The sequence below is a fragment of the Homo sapiens genome, chromosome 13 (assembly GCF_000001405.40).
Source record: "Homo sapiens chromosome 13, GRCh38.p14 Primary Assembly".
In the NCBI taxonomy this organism is placed as follows: Eukaryota; Metazoa; Chordata; class Mammalia; order Primates; family Hominidae; genus Homo; species Homo sapiens.
The window spans coordinates 99,205,530-99,225,597 of NC_000013.11; the positions used below are offsets into that span (position 1 = coordinate 99,205,530).

The 20,068-nt window shown below is 42.1% G+C and overlaps 1 protein-coding gene and 2 pseudogenes across 5 annotated transcripts in view, besides 1 other annotated feature; 2 read left to right on the forward strand and 1 right to left on the reverse strand.

The window, feature by feature from the left end:
* The window catches only part of UBAC2 (UBA domain containing 2), a 185,651-nt gene that overhangs the window by 4,676 nt on the left and 160,907 nt on the right, over positions 1-20,068 (forward strand). The window lies entirely within an intron of this gene.
* Positions 55-555: an enhancer, noted in NCBI's record as "H3K4me1 hESC enhancer chr13:99857838-99858338 (GRCh37/hg19 assembly coordinates)". NCBI's record gives its function as "activates a minimal SCP1, AML or CMV promoter by ChIP-STARR-seq in naive H9 embryonic stem cells {active_cell/tissue: H9 hESC(naive)}" and the evidence as "EXISTENCE:reporter gene assay evidence [ECO:0000049][PMID:30033119]".
* Positions 179-477, forward strand: RN7SKP9 (RN7SK pseudogene 9; annotated as a pseudogene).
* H2AZP3 (H2A.Z histone pseudogene 3) lies at positions 9,543-10,330 on the reverse strand (annotated as a pseudogene).

Sequence of the window (20,068 nt, forward strand, 5' to 3'; positions counted from 1 at the left end):
AAACCTGTTATTTTTTGTTTTAAGAAATGTGTATTTTTAAAGTCTCCACATCCCCCCACCCCAGGACATTTTAATGGACAAACAGATTGAGATGGAGGCAGGAGGGCAGCCACAGGCAGGGCAGAGAGAACGGAGTCTGGTGCGCTGATGAGAGAAGATAGAAGATAGAAGGATTCTTGGATGTGAGGGCGATCTGGCTGTGACATCTGTCACCCCATTGATCGCCAGAGTTGATTCGGCTGATCTGGCTGGCTAGGCGGGTGTCCCCTTCCTCCCTCACCGTTCCATGTGCGTCCCTCCCGAAGCTGCGTGCTCGGTCGAAGAGGACGACCATCCCCGATAGAGGAGGACCGGTCTTTGGTCAAGGGTATACGAGTAGCTGCGCTCCCCTGCTAGAACCTCCAAACAAGCTCTCAAGATAGAAGGATTCTAAAGATGTGTATTCTGGTAGGTTGTGTCAATAAAGCTGATTGGATCTGCGGCGAGGGAGGAGTTGAAGCTGACTCTGCTTTACTGCCTGGGCAGCTGGGTGGATAGGTAACGTTCCCAGTCACTAGAGAGGGAATGCAGAGAAGCAGGAGCTCATTTCAGGAGAAGATGAGTTCAGCTTTGGACCTGTGCAGTGTTGAGGGGTTTGCAGAGTCCGGTCAGAGGTACTCGGGACACTTGGGGAAAGAAATCCAGAGCTGGACTGGATTGGACATGAGTAGGTGAGAGTTAGGTTGTGGGTGTGAGTGAGGACTCCAGAGGTGGGGGGACAGTTGGAAGCTGAGGACAGACCTTCAGCCCATTCCAGCATGTAAGGGATGGATAGAGAAAGAGGAGGCAGAAAGTAGGCAGAGCTGGGGGCTTCTGTAGGAGGAGTTGCGTCTCTTCCCCTAGTCCAGCGGATGGATGTGCCTTCTTCCACGGAATCACGCGTCCCGCAGCCGCTTCCCTGGCTTTGCTCACCACCATGGCTATGCTCACCAGCCTCTGATCCCTCCTTGTCTCCAGTGTATCAGCCCATTTGTGGCATCTCTTTCTTCATATCCAGTCTGGAACCTGTAGTTCATTACTGGAGCCATGGTCTCATCCAGACTCTCGGAGACCTGGCACGTCTGTTCTGTGGTGCTCATCGAGCAAAACCCTAACTTTGCATTGATTTATGGGGTCAAGTCTGGGCCCTTGGCACCGTTTCTCAGCTAAGTTTCTGGTATTCATTTCTCAGCTAAGTTTCTGGGATTCAGTCATCTCCCTATGCTACCTCTATTTTGTCTTCGGCTCAAGGCTATTCTCAGTCTCTCCCCATCTCTTCACCCACCATCTCACTCTTCACCCATCCAAAAAATCGGGGCCATCACCTGGGTGCTCCTTCCGCTTCCTGCTCCCTCTCTCTGACTTGTTTCTGTCCACACTCAGCTTTGTTCCTTTCCTCCAATCCAGAAGAATGAAGCAGCCTTCTCCTGAGGCCCACCCTCCACCGATTCTGAACTCTTTCTTCCCTGTCTTTTCTAGCACCACTCTTGCTTTTTCTTTACCTTCATTCTCTCTCCTGCAGGAATGAGCCTGGCACGTGGTTACAGCTGATGCTTTCTCCTGCGGGTGCCTTAGTGGCACCCCTCCCTGAGTTGGGAGTCTTTACCTGCTGCTGCGTTGACCTGGGGGTTGCATCCTTATTTGGTGAGAGGGCAGAGTATAGAGGTGTAGCACACAGGCCTGGAAGTGAGACTACCTGTACTTCAGATGCTTTCTTGATGGGAAGGAAGATCAGAAAAGTTAGTATGTGTGGAGCTCCTAGAATTTTGCCATAGTAACTACTCAGGTTTAAGTAGTATTAACTGGATCCTTCTTCTGAGCCTATTCTTAAAAATGCAAAAGTATAACCCATCCAACAACTCTATCATGTACCTTCCCAACTGCTGACCACCTTCTTTCCAGCTCTTAAAAGGTGATCTTCCCTTATTTTTTCCCTGTTCTCATCTCCCTTCACTTTTTAGCCTTGTGCAATTAGTCTGCTACTCTTCGATGGCGGGGCCCTGTTCTGGGCTCATTGTGGCCTGCTTCCGTCCCGCTATACCATTGAGCTACTCTGAGTGAAACTCTTGTTTGATCCAAAACATTTGGTAGGGAGCCTTGGGCCAGATGCAGTTAGAGAAGTTTGATGAGCCTAAGGTCCACTGGTGTCAGCCTGTGGTGTGGACATTTGTCTCACTGTAGAGCTGGGTGAGCCCTCAGGACTGGTGGGGTCATTTGAGGCCTGCACTCTCCACCTTCGTTCCAGCTTAGGATCCTGCCTTCGGAACCTGAATACCCTGTCCCCTGCATACTGCTAAAATGGACACCAACATTGACTCCTGAGGCTCTTTTTTTTGTGTTCTCATGAAGGAGCAAACCGTGTTCCTACTGACATTCTTTCTTAAGTATGCATTCAGTGTGTGGGAGATGATGCAAATAAATCTTTATTTTTGCCTCTCATCGTCTCTTTTTTTTTTTTTTTTTTTTTGAGGTGGAGTTTCGCTCTTGTTGCCCAGGCTGGAGTGCAATGGCGTGATCTTGGCTCACTGCAGCCTCTGCCTCCTGGGTTTGAGCAATTCTCCTGCCTCAGCCCCCCAAGTAGCTGGGATTACAGGCGTGTACCACCACGCCTGGCTAATTTTGTATTTTTAGTAGAGACGGGGTTTCTCCATGTTGGTCAGGCTGGTCTTGAACTCCTGACCTCAGGTGATCCGCCCTCCTCTGCCTCCCAAAGTCTTGGGATTACAGGCATGAGCCACCATGCCCCACCTTCACTGTCTCTTTAAAATACACTCAGTTGGGGAGCTGTTTGCTTTTATGAAAAGCTGTCAGGCCTTGTGACTTACCCTTTATGCTTTAATTAACTGATTCAGCAGATACTTACTGAGCACTCCTGTGGGCCAGCCGGTCTCCTAGGTTCTCAGGATTCAATAGGAAGTAAAAGGCCACATAAGGTGATGATCTTAGGTGATAGAAGTCTTGAAATGTAGGCTCCATTTAAAAATTAAAAGTGTCCAGTTCAATATATTAACACTTCAGTCTTCATTCAAAGATTAGACTTTCCCCCCTTTTTTTCCCAGTTAAGACTTGTAGTTGGCAACCATCTCTGTCCGAAAAAGCGGTGTGACAGGCTTCTGGTGCGTTCGGCTCCTCTCTGTCCCTCAGATTTCTTGTGTCTGACTTCACTAGTTTCTGGATTGAGTGGAATAGGAGGAGGAAGGAGAGGTGAGGCTCTCAGATTGTTCTTCTGTGGCTCCCTGAGCCTCGCACGTAGTTAAAGCTGACCCTGTGTCCTGCAGGTGCTTCAGTGGGCTCTTCAGAGACTCCCGACTTCTATCCCTTTTGCCTCCTTGACCTGGGGGTTTGCATCTTTATTTTGGTCGATTTATTTTGGCCAGTTTATTTTGGTGACTCCTCAGCACCTAGGAACTTAGATCCCCCTATAGTTTCCTCCTGCTGGAGTCCTTTTGGCCTGCCTGGGGGCACTGTTGTTTGAACCTAAGACCCTCTGCTGGCTCTCGCGCACAGCCTGGCTGGGACTGCGTGTTCCTTGCCCTGGCTGTGCATGTGGGTCCCAGTGCTCAGCACGGCTTTTCCAGCTCTCTAGATTTCCCAGGTTGGAGATCCACTGTACCCTTGCTGGTCACAGATTTAGCACATGAAATAGGCCATCGAGCCCCTACCTCAGCTTGGTATGAAGGTGTGGCTGTACTCACAGCCCCTCAAGGATTCACTTCACAAAGCCCCCTCCTCCTGTCCTGTCTTCACGGGAGGGAACCCTCACATTCCACTGTCTGTAGCCCTGACCTGGCTGAGAGGACTGTGGGAATCAGGGGACTGCCTTGCAATCACTCTTGGAAAGTTCTGCATTCTGCTATGGAGCCTCCCTTTGGTGGCAGCAGCCCTTCTCTTTTGGTACCTTAGTGGAAATTCCTGTTTGATCATCTTGTTTTGGTTGGTTTTCTGTTTGTGGGCCAGGAACTGTTTGGCTCTCTTCTTTAAGGCAGGCTTTAGTGTTTATACTTTTCTGCTGTAACCAGGCCTGGGTTGCCCAAACCTGAACAGCTCGTTTACTCTTGGGGACACACTCTTCCCCACCAGTCTTAAGTTTTTGGGGGCTGTATTATTGAAACTTCCAAGGAATATACTCTTCATAAATTTTAGCGGCTGGGCATAGTGGCTCACGCCTGTAATCCCAGCACTTTGGGAGGCCAAGGCGGGTGGATCATCTGAGGCCAGGAGTTCGAGACCAGCCTGGCCAACATGGTGAAACCCTATCTCTACTAAAAATACAAAATTAACTGGGCGTGGTGGTTGGCGCCTGTAATCCCAGCTACTCGGGAGGCTGAGGCAGGGAGAATCAGTTGAACCCAGGAGGCGGAGGTTGCAGTGAGCCGAGATCATGCCATTCCACTGCACTCCAGCCTGGGTGCGAGACTGTCTCAAAAAACAAAACAAAAAACAAATTTAGCTAAAAAGGAAAGCTAGGCATTAACTAGGGAGGGACAAGCTTAAGAGAGGATGCTTTTAGAAAATGTTTCTTTTCATCGTAAAAGTAACGTTAACCACACTATAGGAAGTTTGGAAAATAGAAAAAAAACGGTCCTAGCATTTCATTTAATTTATTCGTCTTTTCTTTTTCTATACACTTATGTTCTTGTTTTGAAATAACTGACTTTGTTATAAAATGAGTACGTGTTCATCAGAGACAATTCTGTGATGCAGGAAAGGAGTTCAGTGCAATGTAGGAAAGCACTAGGAAGAAATAAAATGGCATTTATTGATATTTTGGTGTTTCTGCTGTTTTTCCAGTACAAAAATGAATATCTAAATAATAGGTAAAAATAAATTTATCTCAATACTATTTTCTTGCCTTTTTTCCACCCAAGAGAATCTTTTAAAATGTAATCATAATGAGCATGTATATGCTCCGCTTTTTTCTTTTTCTTTTCTTTTTTTTTTTTTTTTGAGATGGAGTTTCGCTCTTGTTGCCCATGCTGGAGTGCAATGGTGTGATCTCGGCTTGCTGCAACCTCCGCCTCCTGGGTTCAAGTGATTCTTCTGCCTCAGCCTCCTGAGTAGCTGGGATTATAGGCATGCACCACCACGTCCGGCTAATTTTGTGTTTTTAGTAGAGACGGGGTTTCTCCATTTTGGTCAGGCTGGTCTCAAACTCCCGACCTCTGGTGATCTGCCTGCCTTGGCCTCCTAAAGTGCTGGGATTACAGGCTTGAACCACCACGCCTGACCTATTTTTATACTTGTAGTAGAGACGGGGTTTCACCGTGTTGGCCAGGCTGGTCTTGAACTCTTGACCTCAGGTGATCCACCCACCTCGGCCTCACAAAGTGCTGGGATTACAGGTGTGAGCCACCATGCTGGGCCCCGCTTTTTCCCTTTGTCATAAGCATTCCCCTAGGATGCTGCAGAATTAGGTTGTTTCTCCCCTCCTTTATTTTAGTAATGCCAAGAGCATCTTAACTTTCAGATATTCATAGAAGTGAAAGAAGGTTAAATGAAGTGTATTCTCGTATAACTTTTAGTACGTACTGCCAAATTCCAATCCCAAAGGGTAGTACCAATTTAAACTCCACCAGCAATTTAAGGGAGAAAAGATTGCTTTTCTTAAGTTATTACATTTCGTATTCACAGCAGCCCTATGAGGATAGGTATTGTTATTTTTCCCCTCCACAAACGAGTCTTTTCACGCTCAGAAAATGATTTGTCGAAGACCACATAGCTAGTAGTATGTGGAAGAGCTGAGATTTGACTCCGATTTGCCTGCGTCCAAAGCCTGTACTTTCTACTGTATCATACAATGAAAATTTAGTCCCTTTAGTGGAAAATGGCAATGGCAATATGACTTGTTAAGTGCTAGGACAAACATCTGGGAAAAAGAATCATTATTTAAACAAGGGTGCTACATGTCTATATGGTTCTTACACCTTTTCAATCAACGACTAATAAGTGTGAGTTATTATTGGTTTTAATGATAAAATACTACGTGTTAGGCACTGTTCTAAGCAGTTTACCTATATTGACTCACTTAATTCTCATAACAGCCCTGTTAGGTAGGCACAGTTACTCTTCCCAATTTGCAGATGAGGAGACTGAGGCACAGACACTTAAGTAACTTTCCTGCTGAGGAGCAGGTCTAGGATTTGAACCCAGATGGTCTGGCTGCCTGTTCTGTGTTGCTCACTACTGCTTCTCAGCCTTAAAGAAGTTTATCTCCGTGTGTCTCCCAACCACTGGGATCGTCTCAGGCGAGTGATGTTAGTAGCTCAGGTTAGTGTAGAGCTTGAGCCCTGGTCATTGGAAACTGCATCATTGTGTCCTGGCAGTGTGCTTTTCCCTCATCCCCTTGGGACCATGGCAGCCTCCTTCCTGGGTTCTACCATGCTCCTTCTCCTGGCTGCCAGTGCACAAGTCTGCCTCTCCCCACATCAGAACCAAGATCCAGTTTACCTTTGGTAGACATGTTTTATGTCCTGATTAGGATCTTTTGTAGCAGTTAGTGCTCTACAGTTGTTTTTATTTGTGTATCCTCTGTTTTTCTCTTCCCTTACCAAGTCATCTTCCTTTTCCAACTTTTTCCGTTCTCAACCTGTCTCAATATCAGTTTTAGTAATATAGGTGGAACCTATCTTACATCAAGCAATTTTAAAATTGGCATTTTTATAGCATTTTAATAAGCAAAACTTGCTAAAGCATATCTCATCAATAATTTAGCATTTTTGAAGTGTGCTTTGTGAAATGGTACTATGAGGAGCTCCTGAAGTTTTAACCCTCATTTAAATTATGAGTGTAAATGAGAATTATAAAGTAATCCTTATTTAAATCATGATTTTCCCCCCAGATTTTTCCCTAAGGCTTTCTAAGTTACATTGCCATTGTTTCAGTCATTTCCCAGAATTTAGTCCCTTCAGTGGACGTGATACAATGGGAAGAGCATGACACTAATCTTTGGAAAGGGTTCTGTAGCCAAGTTAGGTTGGGAATGTTGTTGGCCATATTGTTTTTTGACATTGACGATGCAGATTAACACTTCAAAGATCCTTTGCAGCCGTACAACAGAGAAATCTGTTTGACTTTATTAACTCTGTTTCTAAGATTTATTGGGGGACATAAAATATAGGGAAAAAAACATAAATTTCCATTTCATTATACTGCCCAGATTTGATCATTATTTCTATATTGCTCTTGTATAAATTTTTTTCTCCTTTATGTGTGCATATAAATACACATTTTTAAAGGAAAGGTCAGCCTATCTACAGTTTCATATTCTGCTTTTTTCATTTACTCTTCTTGAATGAATTCACTCCATGTCATTAAGTAATCTTCAAAGCCAACTTTTACCATTATCTTTGTTTTGCCTTATTACAAAACTGAAACATGCTGAAAAAGTTCAAAAATTATACAAATATTTTATGTAGTGTAGAAGGGATTAGTCCCACATAATGATTCCCACGCCCACGTAACCATTGTTGGTAGTCTAGTGGTCATTCTTTTAGACTTTTTCTGTGTACCTGCTTATCTATGCATTCTTTTTTTTTCTGACGCATGTATATACATATACATATACCTATACATTTGATTTTATACAGAAATGGCATTCAAATACACATTTGATGTTCTTCCAACATCTCAGATATTAAAAAACGTGAGTTAGAATGATTATAACTTTTTTTTTCAATTTTTTTTTTTTATTTAAGATGGGATTTCGCCATTTGGGCCAGGCTGGTCTCGAACTCCTAACCTCAGGTGATCTGCCTTTCTTGGCCTCCCAAGTTGCTGGGATTATAGGCATGAGCCACCACGCCCTATCCATAACTTTTTTTTTGTTTTTTTTGAGACAAGGTCTTGCTCTGTCGTCCAGCCTGGAGTGCAATGGTGTGATCTCGGCTTACTGCAACTGCTGCCTCCCGGGTTCAAGTGATTCTCCTGCCTCAGCCTCCCGAGTAGTTGGGATTACAGGCACCTGCCATCATGCCCAGCTAATTTTTGTATTTTTGTAGAGACAGGGTTTTACCATGTTGGCCAGGCTGGTCTTGAACTTCTGACCTCAGGTGATCCGCACGACTCAGCCTCCCAGAGTGCTGGGATTACAGGCATTAGTCACTGCACCCGGTCGATTATAACATTTTATCGTACTAAAATAAGTTTTTTTTGCAGTATTTTCCCGTTAGAAACACTTAGAACATCTTTGTAACTAAGTTATTGATTGCATCTTTAACCCCATTTTAAAGAAATAATCATAAATGTTGAATTATAGAATCAAAAGATAAGAATATTTTATTTTATTTTATTGTAGACAGAGTCTTGCTTTGTCGCTCAGGCTGGAGTATAGTGGCGTGATCTCAGCTCACTGCAAGCTCTGCCTCCCAGGTTCAAGCGATTCTCCTGTCTCAGCCTTCTAGTAGCTGGGATTACAGGTGTGCACCACCACACCTGGCTAATTTTTGTATTTTTAATAGAGATGGGGTTTCACCATGTTGGCCAGGCTGGTCTCGAACTCCCAACCTCAAGTGATCTGCCTGCCTCATCCTCCCAAAGTGCTGGGATTACAGGCGTGAGCCACCGCACCTGGCCTGATTGTGTATTTATTGTAGAGCCAGGGTTAGAACTTAGGTCAGAAAACCTGTCCTGCTGTTTCTTCAATCTTGTATCATTTTTTGCCTTGGCATCTTTGGTTTGTTTTTTTTTTTTTTTTTCCTGGAATCCCTCCTGGAGTAAATTTTTTTCGTGTAAGGACACGAGTGGTGAACTTCTGGATCTTGCTTGGCCGTTCTTGTGCAGTCCTGAATGACTGGATTCCTAAGTACCTAGTGTGGGTTTCCTCTTTGTTTGTGGGTACAGCCTTTTCCCGCAAGAGGCTCAAACTTGAAATGGCAGGGCTGACTCTAGGTTCTCTTCTAGTATGCAAGGAATATGAATAGGCTGGTTTGCATATAGGTTGCAGAGGTGGGGAGTAGGTGGTGGTGGGGGAAGCAGGACTGTGAGAACCCCCTGCAGTCGTCAAAGGGTGGCTCATTGCTTTCTGTGGCTTTTACTCCTGAGTGAAGCTGCCTTTCTTATTACCCTCCTTGTCCGTTCCCCGTCACCTGTGCTGTGATCTGGTTTGGAAGTTTGAAGTTACCCCAAGCTCTCTTCTACTTTTTTGCAGACCTCCAACCCCCTCATTGTTCTCCTTAAGCAGATTGTCCCCCACCCCACCCTTTTTGGAGAGTTTCTAGGATTTTATTTTGGGGGAATAAATAAATTTCTTTCCAACTGGGATGGTGGTGAAAAGGCTGTTTGTAGACTGTGGGTGGGGAAGGGTTTGAGGCCCCACTGCTGTCATGCTTGTTCGGTGGCATTTGCACCACTGGAGATGATTTTAGACAGGGTGTCAGCCCAGCAGTAAACATCATTGAAATAGAAGTCAGGTCATGACTCCCTTTTCAGTTCTTTTCTTTTTGTTTTTTTTTTTTCTTGGGGGATATGACCTTTATTGAGCTTATCCACCACAGTGGAAATAATGTCTGTACAAAGCCAAATGTTTGTTACTATAACTTCTGCATTACAATTAAAATCCAAACAGTTTTTTAAAAACAGTCAGCTCAATCAAAGCCCAGTACTTCAGAATCAATAGCTTCCTTGAAGCCACAGTATCACTTAAATATGGTTAAGACTCAAATGCAGAAATTTGGTTGGAAAGCTAATTAAACTTCCAACTTGCCCAAATAGAATTACAAAAAGACAAAATTGTGTTTTTCACAGAAATATAGTCCACTGGCATCACCAACACTGGACAGCTGTTCTTTTATTTAGAGTCCTGAGATAACAAGGAATCCAGGCATACATTAGACAGTCTTCTGTTGTCCTTTCTTCCCAATCAGAGATTTGTGGATGTGTGGAATGACACCACCACCAGCAATTGTAGCCTTGATGAGAATCCAATTCTTCATCTGCACGAATAGCAAGTTGCAAGTGACGAGGGGTAATATACACTTTACCTTTAAGTCTTTTGATGCATTTCCTGCCAGTTCAAGTCCCTCTGCGGTGAGGTACTCCAGGATGGCTGCGCTGTACACAGCGGCAGTTGCACCCACATGTCTGTGACCCGTCGTCCTAGATTTCAGGTGTTGATGAATACAGCCCTCTGGGAACTGCAAGCCGGCTCTCTGCGAGCGGGAAACCGCCTTTGTCTTGGCCTTTCCGGAGTCCTTCCCAGCCTTACCGTCAGCCATTTCGAGTTCTGCTGAAGCTCAAGCAAGGCAGAGAAAGGGCTAATCAGACCCGTGGTGAGATCCCACCATCTACTCCTTCATCGCACCGTGATTCAAACTGCCCTTTTCAGTTCTTACTATTCCTGATCGGATCAAAGAGAAAATCTTGATGTGGTGCTAGTCTGAAAGACCTCTCTAATAAAGGCTATTTTCCTATTGTAACAAAAAGAGCAGGAAGTAATATTAGTCTTTAATAACTTTGTTTTGTTATAGGTTGGTGCAAAAGTAATTGCGGTTTTTGCCATTAAAGGTAAAATGGCAATTACTTTTGTACCAACCTATATTTGTGTGTGTGTGTGTGTGTGTGTGTGTGTGTATTTTTGAGACACAGTCTCACTCTGACGCCTCAGCTGGAGTGCAGTGGTGCAATCTCGGCTCACTGCAACCTCTGCCTCCCTGGTTCAAGGGGTTCTCATTCCTCAGCCTCCGAAGTAGTAGCTAGGATTATAGATGCCCGCCACCACACCTGGCTAATTTTTGTATTTTTAGTAGAAACAGGTTTTCACCATGTTGGCCAGGCTGGTCTCAAACTCCTGAACTCAGGTGATCCGCTCACCTTGGCCTCCCAAAGTGCTGGGATTACAGGTGTGAGCCACCGTGCCCGGCCCAGTGTGTTTATTTTTATAGTTACCACCTATTAATGAGAAAGCAACACTTGTTTTCCATTTACCGTAGTGATATCAAATTTCGTTTAAAATATTTATGTAAATCATAGGTGATTTAAAGAAAAATATTAATAACAGGATCAGGGCAGGCAGAAACTGGTGCTGTAGTGGTAATGCCTGCAGTTTGAGAAATGCCCTCAATTCTCCCGAAGATTGTTCATATTCCTCCCCAGGTCTTGGTATTTGTTGATTCTTTCTCTGGACTCAGTTGAAAGGACACATTTCGCTGGTGTTTTGAGGGTTCTTTTATTTTGAAACAACTTTGGAAGGGCGGGAACGTGGACAGGTGTCCTGGGTCTGCTGTCTTAGACTGGAATTTTACCTGGTGGTCTTCTTGGTTTTGTCGTTTTTGTTGGACTCTTTTCTTTTTTCTTTTTTTTTTTTTGAGACGAAGTCTTGCCCTTGTCCCCCAGGCTGGAGTGCAGTGGTGCGATCTTGGCTCACTGCAAACTCTGCCTCTTGGGTTCAAGTGATTCTCCTGCCTCAGCCTCCCGAGTAGCTGGGATTACAGGCGCCTGCCACCATGACCGGCTAATTTTTGTATTTTTAGTAGAAACGGGGTTTCACCATGTTGGCCAGGCTGGTCTCGAACACCTGACCTTGGGTGATCTGCCTGCCTCGGCCTCCCAAAGTGCTGGGATCACAGGCGTGAGCCACGGCGCCTGGCCTCTTTCCTCGTTTTCGAATTAATTTTAGTGTTTGGGGTTTTAGTGGGGCTTGTTCCCCACTTCAGCTAGGCCGTTGCTCAGCGTCAGTGGCTGGAGATGTTGGCAGAGTCAGTCCCTCCATCCATTAGGTGCTGAAGGGCCACTCAGAAGCCCAAACTTGCAAGGGTTTTTCTGCTCGGATCTCTTACGCTTTTCTCCCAGGGAGAGGTCCCGTGGCTCATCAGAGCTTTAAAAACCAGACTTGGGTTTCTCCACCATGCAGGCGTGTGTTCTGCCTGCCCTCTTTCTCCAACCCAGACCCACGTAGGCTATGCTGAAACTCTGTGGAGGCAGACCCTCTTGTGTGGCCTGGGGACGTTCCAGCACCATCTTTGTAGCTCGGGCAGCCTTACTTGTCACCCTGTTTGGTTGAGTCCGACTTCTTGGGTCCTTGAACACAGGGAGGCACCCCGGCTTGGGGCCAGCTGTTACCCGCGCTCGCCCTGGCATGCAGCCCTCTGGTGTCTCAGCTGCGCTGATGGGTGCCCACCCCGCGGTGCTTCTCCAGGCCCCAGGCGTTTCCTTTGGTCTCTGTGGAGGTTGTGGGGGGCAGGTTGGAGAGGAGAGTTACTTGCCAGCACTTTAAAATTGGCTTATTTCAGACCTAAATTCAAGGTGTCTGTGATGTCCTGAGGCGGATGATCTGGCAGCCTCAGGGCCGAGTTGTTAGGTGGGTGGCAGCGTCCACCGAGCTCGTGCCCACCTTCTTGCCATCGACTCCCCCATTTCACTGCCTGCCTGGCCTCTGTAGGCACTTGAATTTACAACACGTTTTCTTGCCACTAACCACGCATTTCCCCACTTGAAAAGTATTATTTCTTCTCTCTTACAGTTTATCACATGGTCCAGAACTTTCTGTAAGCGTCCTGATTTACTTTATTTAGAGTTATTCCAACTGTTAACTGATTTATCCCATATTTGTGTGTTACAGTCATAATTTTTTAAACTTATTTTGGCTTTTAAAATTATTATTTCATTATAATTACATTTCTTGTCTAATTAGTACTTTTAGTAATTACTGCTTTTTACATTTAATCATAGTGTTAATGTTTGTATAAAATCTCCCTAAGAAGTATAAACCCAACTGGTGGCCACCACAGTGGTGGGACCAAAATGAACATTTAGGTGCCCAGTGCCTTTGCTGACTTGCAGATTTGAAACACTTTTCTCTGGCATGCAGGCCTCTGTGTTTGGTGCTGTTTCAGGACTAGGATTTTAAATTTTACAGCTCACTCTTTCCTCCCCTCTAATTCACACTGTTTAAGTATTTTAGATGTGGAGCACATTTTTTGTATCTAGAGGGTAAGTCCTTCTCTTTCCTGACCTTTTTTTTTTTTTCCCTGGAAACTTCTTAGCACTTTCTCCTGCTTATTTTCCTGATAAACTGTATAACTCTTGCTTCGATAACAAGTGTTTATTGGCTGCTGTCCTGAGCCAGGCACTCTGCCCGGTTGTCTGGGGACCTGTATGAGGAGCGGTCAGTGTGGCAGGTGTCCAGTGTCATTGAATTCTCCTCAATGCATTAGGGACAGGAGCTGATTGATGGATGGCTTCCAGTGTTTTACTTCTAAACACTGTAGGGAAACAGCTGTAACAAAAATAAACCTGGAACCTTTTGATCCCTGGACAGTCTTTGTTGAGACGATCACCAGGAGGCACTCATTCCTCCTTAACGTGGTCACCGAATCTAAGTTTCATTAAGTTTTCTTTTAGGAAGTCCAGAGACTTGAGGAATAAATCATAGTGGAAGTGCAAGGTGTCTCTTGCAAGGCATGGGTTTACTGTGCTTTTGTGGATTTCTGCCCTTAGTTTTGGTTTAGCTCCTTTCTGATGAAAAACTTTATGAGAAAGTTACTTTATGAGACACCAAGTCACCCCATTCTTGTGAGAACCCTGAGAAGTTTACCAAATAGTTAAGTAGTCAGACATAGGAAAACCAATGTTGTGGTAGGATATGGCGGCTCCTCCTCTCAAGGGTGTGAACCATACAGGGCTTTTTGATGTGTGTATTTTTACATGCGTGACTTGTGGAGGCAGGCAGAGTTTCTGGGTTGCTCCCCTACCTGTCTGTCTTCAGCTAGAATGCTTCTGTAACAGCCCACAGGACTAAGCTTTGCAAGGCCTGTGGTTAGTGTCTCCAGTACCCAAAAGATACATATTTTTATTCAGTTAAAATTGGCCATTTTAACCATTTAAAAATGTTCACTTATTGACTTCCAGTACATTTACATTGTTGTGCAATTAACAGCAACCACAATTTAATTGCAGAACATTTTATCACGCCAGAAAGAAACGGAGTGCCCATTAAGCCAGGCTTGTCCACCCTGCAGCCCATGGGCCATATGCGACCCAAGACAGCTTTGAATGCAGCCCAACACAAATTTGTAAACTTTCTTAAAACATTCTGAGATTTTTTTCAATTTTTTTAAGCTTATCAACTATTGTTAGTGTTAGTGTACTTTATGTGTGGCCCAAGATAATTCTTCTTTTCCAGTGTGGCCCAGGGAAACCAAAAGATTAGACATCCCTGTATTAAGCCGTCATGCCCTATTACCTTCTCCCAACTGTCCCTGACAAACACTAATCTGCTTTCAGTCTGTATGGATTTTTAAATTCTGGACATTTCATATAAGTGGAGTCATATAGTACATAACTTTATATGACTGGCTTTTTTTCACTTAGCATAATGTTTTTGAGGTTCATCTATGTTGTAGCATGTATCAGGATCCATTCCTCTTATGACTGAATAATATTCTATTGTATGGATATACATTTTGTTCATTTGTTGATGGACATTGGTTTGTATCCACTTTTTGTGTTATGATAATGCTACTATGAACATTTGTATGTAGGTTTTTGTGGAAAAAAAAATCCTGTGTTTTCAGTTTTCTTGGGTATATTCCTCAGAGTGGAATTGCTAGGTCATGTCATAATTCTGTGCTTGACGTTTTGTGGAACCAAAAAGATATATCTTAAGTATTAAAATAGTACACATATAAAGTTATCATAGTTCCTTCTTATATATTAGAAAGAAATGGTTTCTTTATAGTCAGGCAGAACCAAGTTCAAATCCCAGCCCCTCTACTAACTAGCTGTGACCTTCAGTGAGTTATTTAGCCTTTCTTAGTTTATTTCTTCACCTAGAGAATGCTGATAATTAATTCGTGCTTCAGGGCTATTATAGTAATTCACTGAGATGGTATTACATGTAAAGTGCTTTTATTAGCACAGTGCCTGGCATAAAATAATCCACATATACTGTAATATTTATTTTAGGATAATACGTAGTCACCCAAGCCTGATTAGTATTTATTGCCTCAAAGAAATGACTATGTACTTAGGTCAAACCAAAGAGAAATCAGACCCAAAAGGAATTCTTAAACTTTATATTTTTATATTATCTTTGCCAGAGAGGTATTTTGCATTTTTACTTTTAGATTAATGCGTTGTCTGTTATTCTCAAAATTTGTAGCATCCCTGTTTTCAAAGGTAAAAGGATCTCCTGCAGAGAAGTGACTTTTTCTTAACCTTCTGTTTGATCTCTGCTTGGGTTCTGTGCGTATGAACCACTTCCTGGCTCTGCTCACAGAGAGGCCGAAGATTACTAGTGACTTGCCCCATCTCAGTGCATAAGGATTCACCATATGGATCTTTTTCTTGAATTAGTAACTAGTTACAAATTATTTTTTCTAATTGTCAAAATCGATTTTTTTTTGGTAAAAAATTAAGATCTCCCATGAACAGACCAGAGATTATCTCTGTTAATATTTTGGTAGATGCTTTTTTAAAAAAAGTATTTATATATTATTTTTGTATAATAATACCACTAGAATATTTTGCGCTTACTATTTAGGAACATCTTTCCAAGGTACAAAATATTTTTCTACAACCTATTGCTTAATGTTGAATATTATCCCATTTTTATGGATAGAACATAATTTACCCATTTCCCAATTAGATATTCATATTGTTTCTGGTCTTTTCACTATTATAAACAGTGCTGCGATGAACATTGTTGTAGCAGAATCTTTGTGCACATTTATGATAATTACTTTGGGCTAAATTCCTAGAAATGGATTTCTTGGATCTGTGTTGCAACCTCCACAAACTGCAGTCTTTTTATATTTCGTTCACAATTACATTTACTTTTGTTACACAGGGCACTACTTTGATTTCTATTAGTGCTGTTTGTGATTGTGTATGTCTTTCACTTGAAATCCACCATGAAGGTGAAAATTTGTTTGAACCGTGGCACTATATGGCAGTGCAGTGTAGTCAGTTGTGTTTGTAGTCCGGATTATCAGAGCTTGAATTCTGGTTCTGCTGCTCACTAGCTTCTTCTTGCACACTGTTTCAGTGTACTCAGCCTCACCTTTTATTTTATTTCTACAGAGTCCCATTTGGTGTGTAAGCTGGTTTTTTGTTCCTATTTCTGTGTTCCTCCCATGGGGCTTCTTTTCTATGGCCACTCTAGACCATTGAGGATGGAAGCTGATGGATAAAAATGCTGCCCTGTTCCACCTGGGATGGTAGTTGAGACACATTCACAAGGCTTCTCGGAAAGTCCTGCAGGTTCCAGCACCTGTCAGAAACATCTGTCACTCATGGTGATCGCCTACTTGACAGTGCCCTTCTTTGGACTCTTCCTCTGTTTCGCTCCCCGTGTCCTTCACTACTGCTCCCTGGGATCACATTCCAAAATAAAGTCCCTGCCTGGAAGCCTTTGTCTCACCTTTTACTCTTAGAGGAACCCCGGCTAAGACATTTTCTAGTCATGGATAGGTAATGTACTCTCCGAGTCACAGTTTTGTCTTCTGTATAAATCTGAGAAGAGTGATGTCTGCCTCATAGGGTTATTTTGAGGTTTAAACCGTGTAAGTAATTCATTCACCACATAGTTACTGAAAGGCAACTGTGTGCTAAGTGGTGGCATTCTGGCTATGGGGATATGGCAGTGAGCAAGACAACTAGGACCCTGTCTTCACAGGGTTTACATTCTGATGAAGGAGACGGACAAAGAAGCAAACAAAGAATTTCAAGTAGTAAAGAATGCCACAGAGTAAATTAACCAGGATGATGCACTCAAAAGCAAAAAATCACGATGGAAGGCCACTCTGAGGAGGTGCTCTTAGAAATGAGGACTCAATGGTGAGAATAAGCTGGACGTGGGAAGAACATTTTGGGTAGAGAGAGTAACAGGCACATAGGCCCTGTAGTGGGAGTGGCAGGAGCAAAGTAGCACACATAAAGTGTGATGCTAATACCTCCACTTCCTAAGTGCTTAATAAATGTTGGTTGGTATTAGTAGTTACTAGTTGGTTATATTAGTAATTAATAATTGAGGTTAGATCAAAGGGGTAGCCCATTGGTAATTACATAGCAGTAAGTGGTCAGTTTAGCCTTATGGATTGATGACAAATTGGTTTCATAGAATAAGCAGTAATTGGGCAGGATGAGAATGGTTTCATAGTATACTTTAACTTGTTGATATGGTAAATTACATTGATTTGCTTTGCATTCCCAGGATAAGCATTATTTGGTCATGATGTATTCTTTTTATATAATGCTAGGTTTGATTTACTGATGTTTTGTTGAGAATTTTGCATCTGTTAATACGTTCATAAAGTATATTGGTCTATTTTTTGCCTTTTAATATCTTTGCATGGCTTTGCTAACAGTGTAACACTGGCTTCATAACATGAGTTGGAAAGTGTTCTCTATTTTTCTGTGTTGTAACAGAGTTTGTATAGAATTGGTATTTAAATGCTTGGTAGAATTCTCCCCTGAAGCCATCAGACTTGGAGTTTTCTTTGTTGGAAGTCTTTTAACTATAAATTCAATTTCATAATATCTGTAGGACTATTTAAGTTACCCATTTCTTCTTGAATGAGCTTTGGTAGGTTGTGTCTTCCAAGGAGTTTGCCTGTTTCATCTAAGTTATCAAATTTATGGGCGTAAAGTATTTCCTAACATTCCCTTTCAAAAAAAAATTTAGTTGTGATAAGACATTTTAGTAGTGATAAGAAATACATAACATAAAACTTACTGTTTTAACTATTTTTAAGTGTACAGTTCAGTGACATTAAGTACATTCACATTGTTGTGCAACTTCTTACTATCCTTTTAATGTCTCTGGGGTCAGTAGTGATGCCTCCTCTTTATTCCTGATACTGATAATTGTGTCTTCTCTCTTTTTGTCCTGATCATTTCTGCTAGAAGTGTATCAGTTTTATTGATCTCAAGAACCAGCTTTGAGTTTCATTGATTTGTCTCTATTATAGTTTGTTTTTTCCATTTCATTGATTTCTACTCTTAATTATTTCTTTATATCTGCTTGCTTAGGTTTTAATTTGCTCTTCTTTCTCTTTTTCTGTTTTTTTTTTTTTTTTTTTTTTTTAAGATTGTAACCTACACCATTATGTGAGACCTTTTTTCTTCCTAATATAAGCATTTTTATGCTACATTTTCCCCTCTAAGCATTGCTCTATCTGCAGTCCACAAATTTTGCTTGGTTGTGCTTCATTTTTTTATTCTGTTTTAAATATACTCTAATTTCCTTTGTGACTTCCTCTTTGACCCAGATATTGTTTAGAAATGTGTTGTTGAGTTTTCACATATTTGGGGGATTTTCCATCTTTCTGCTGTTGGCTTCTGATTTTTTTGTGGCCAAGGAACATGCTTTATATGATTTTAATTCCTTTAAATTTTTTTGAGGACTCTTTTATGCCCAGAATATAGTCTATTTTGGTGAATGCTCCATATGCACTTGAAAAAATGTGTAACTTGCCGTTGTTGGGTGGAGTGTTCTATAAATGTCAATCAGGCCAAATTGGTTGATAATGTTTTTCAGGTCTTGTGTATCCTTACTGATTTTACTGGTCAGCTTGGGCTGCCATAACAAAATACCACAGACTGGGTGGCTTAAGGAACAGAAATTAATTTTCTTACAGACCCAGAAGCTAGAAGTCCAAGCTCAGGGTTTTGGCGGGTTTGGTTTCTCCTGGGGCCTTGCAGGAGCCTGCTGGCTTCTAGCTGTGTCATCACATGGTCTTTCCTTTGTGTGTGCAAGCATCCCTGGGTCCCTCCCTTTTCTTAAAAGACATGTCACATTGAATTAGGGCTCCATCTATCCTTATGACCTCACTTAACCTTAATTACCTCTTTAAAGGGCCTATCTCCAAACTTAGTCAGCATAGAGCTTCAACATACAAATTTTAGGAGGAAACGTTCAGTCCATAACAGTGATTTTCTGTTTGCTTGTATTATCGATTACTGTGAGAAGAGTGCTGAATTCTCCAACTATATTTGTGGATTTATCTACGTCCCATTTCAGTTCTATTAATTTTTGCTTCATTGAAATCCTTTCTCAGCTCTCAGATTCTATGATTCACTGTGCACCTCCCACCCAATGTTTTAATTATGAAAAATTTCAAACATGCCACAAAGTAGAAAGAGGGGTACACTGAACACCCATATACCCACCACCTAGATTCTACACAATTAACATTTTACTATGTTGGCTTTAGCAAATATCAATCCCTTTATTTATTTGATCAGTACCATATGATTTTTAAAAATGCATTTCAAAGTAGATTATAGTCACATTTTCTCTAAACACTTAAATGTGCATTGTTATTCCCTAGAGTTTAATAATAACTATTTAAAGGTTTTTGAGTTAAAATTTTTACGTAGTAAAAGTACAAATCTTGAGTTGATGAGCGAATCTTGTTGTCTATAATGATACTATATACTTATCCTGTGATGTGCAACTGTTTGGATATTTGTGTATTATTGCTTTCCACATAGGTTTCTGAGATGTGATTTTTGCTCATTTTGAGAGGAATACTTAATGGTAATTATCAGATCTGTATTTTTAGGGGTTTGTTTGGTCCTGGACAGAATTAAAATGGCTGTGTAAATAGGGTCAGTTATTAGTTCAGTAAATATTTGCTTATATTTAGTTTTAATTTTTAATTGTGGTAAAATGTACATAATATAAAATGTACAATCTTAACTATTTTTGTGTATAGTCCAGTAGTATTAAGTACGTTCATATTGTGCAACCGATGTCTATAACTCTTCTCATCTTGCAGAAATGAAACTCTGTATCCATTAAACAACTTCCCATTTCCCCCTTCCTCCGCCCACTGTACCCTGCCTCTGGCAACCACTTTTCTACTTTCTGCCTCTGTGAATTTTACTACTCTAGGTACTGCAAATAAGTGGAATCATATAATATTTATCTTTTTGTGACCGGCTTATTTCACATAGCATAATGTCCTCAAGGTTCATGCATGTTGTTCCATGTGCCAGTTTCCTTCCTTTTTAAGGCTGAATTAAATTCCATTATATGTGTATGCCACATTTTGTTTACCCGTTTATGCATTCATCTGCCAGTGGACACTTGGGTTCCTCCCGCCAGTATGTG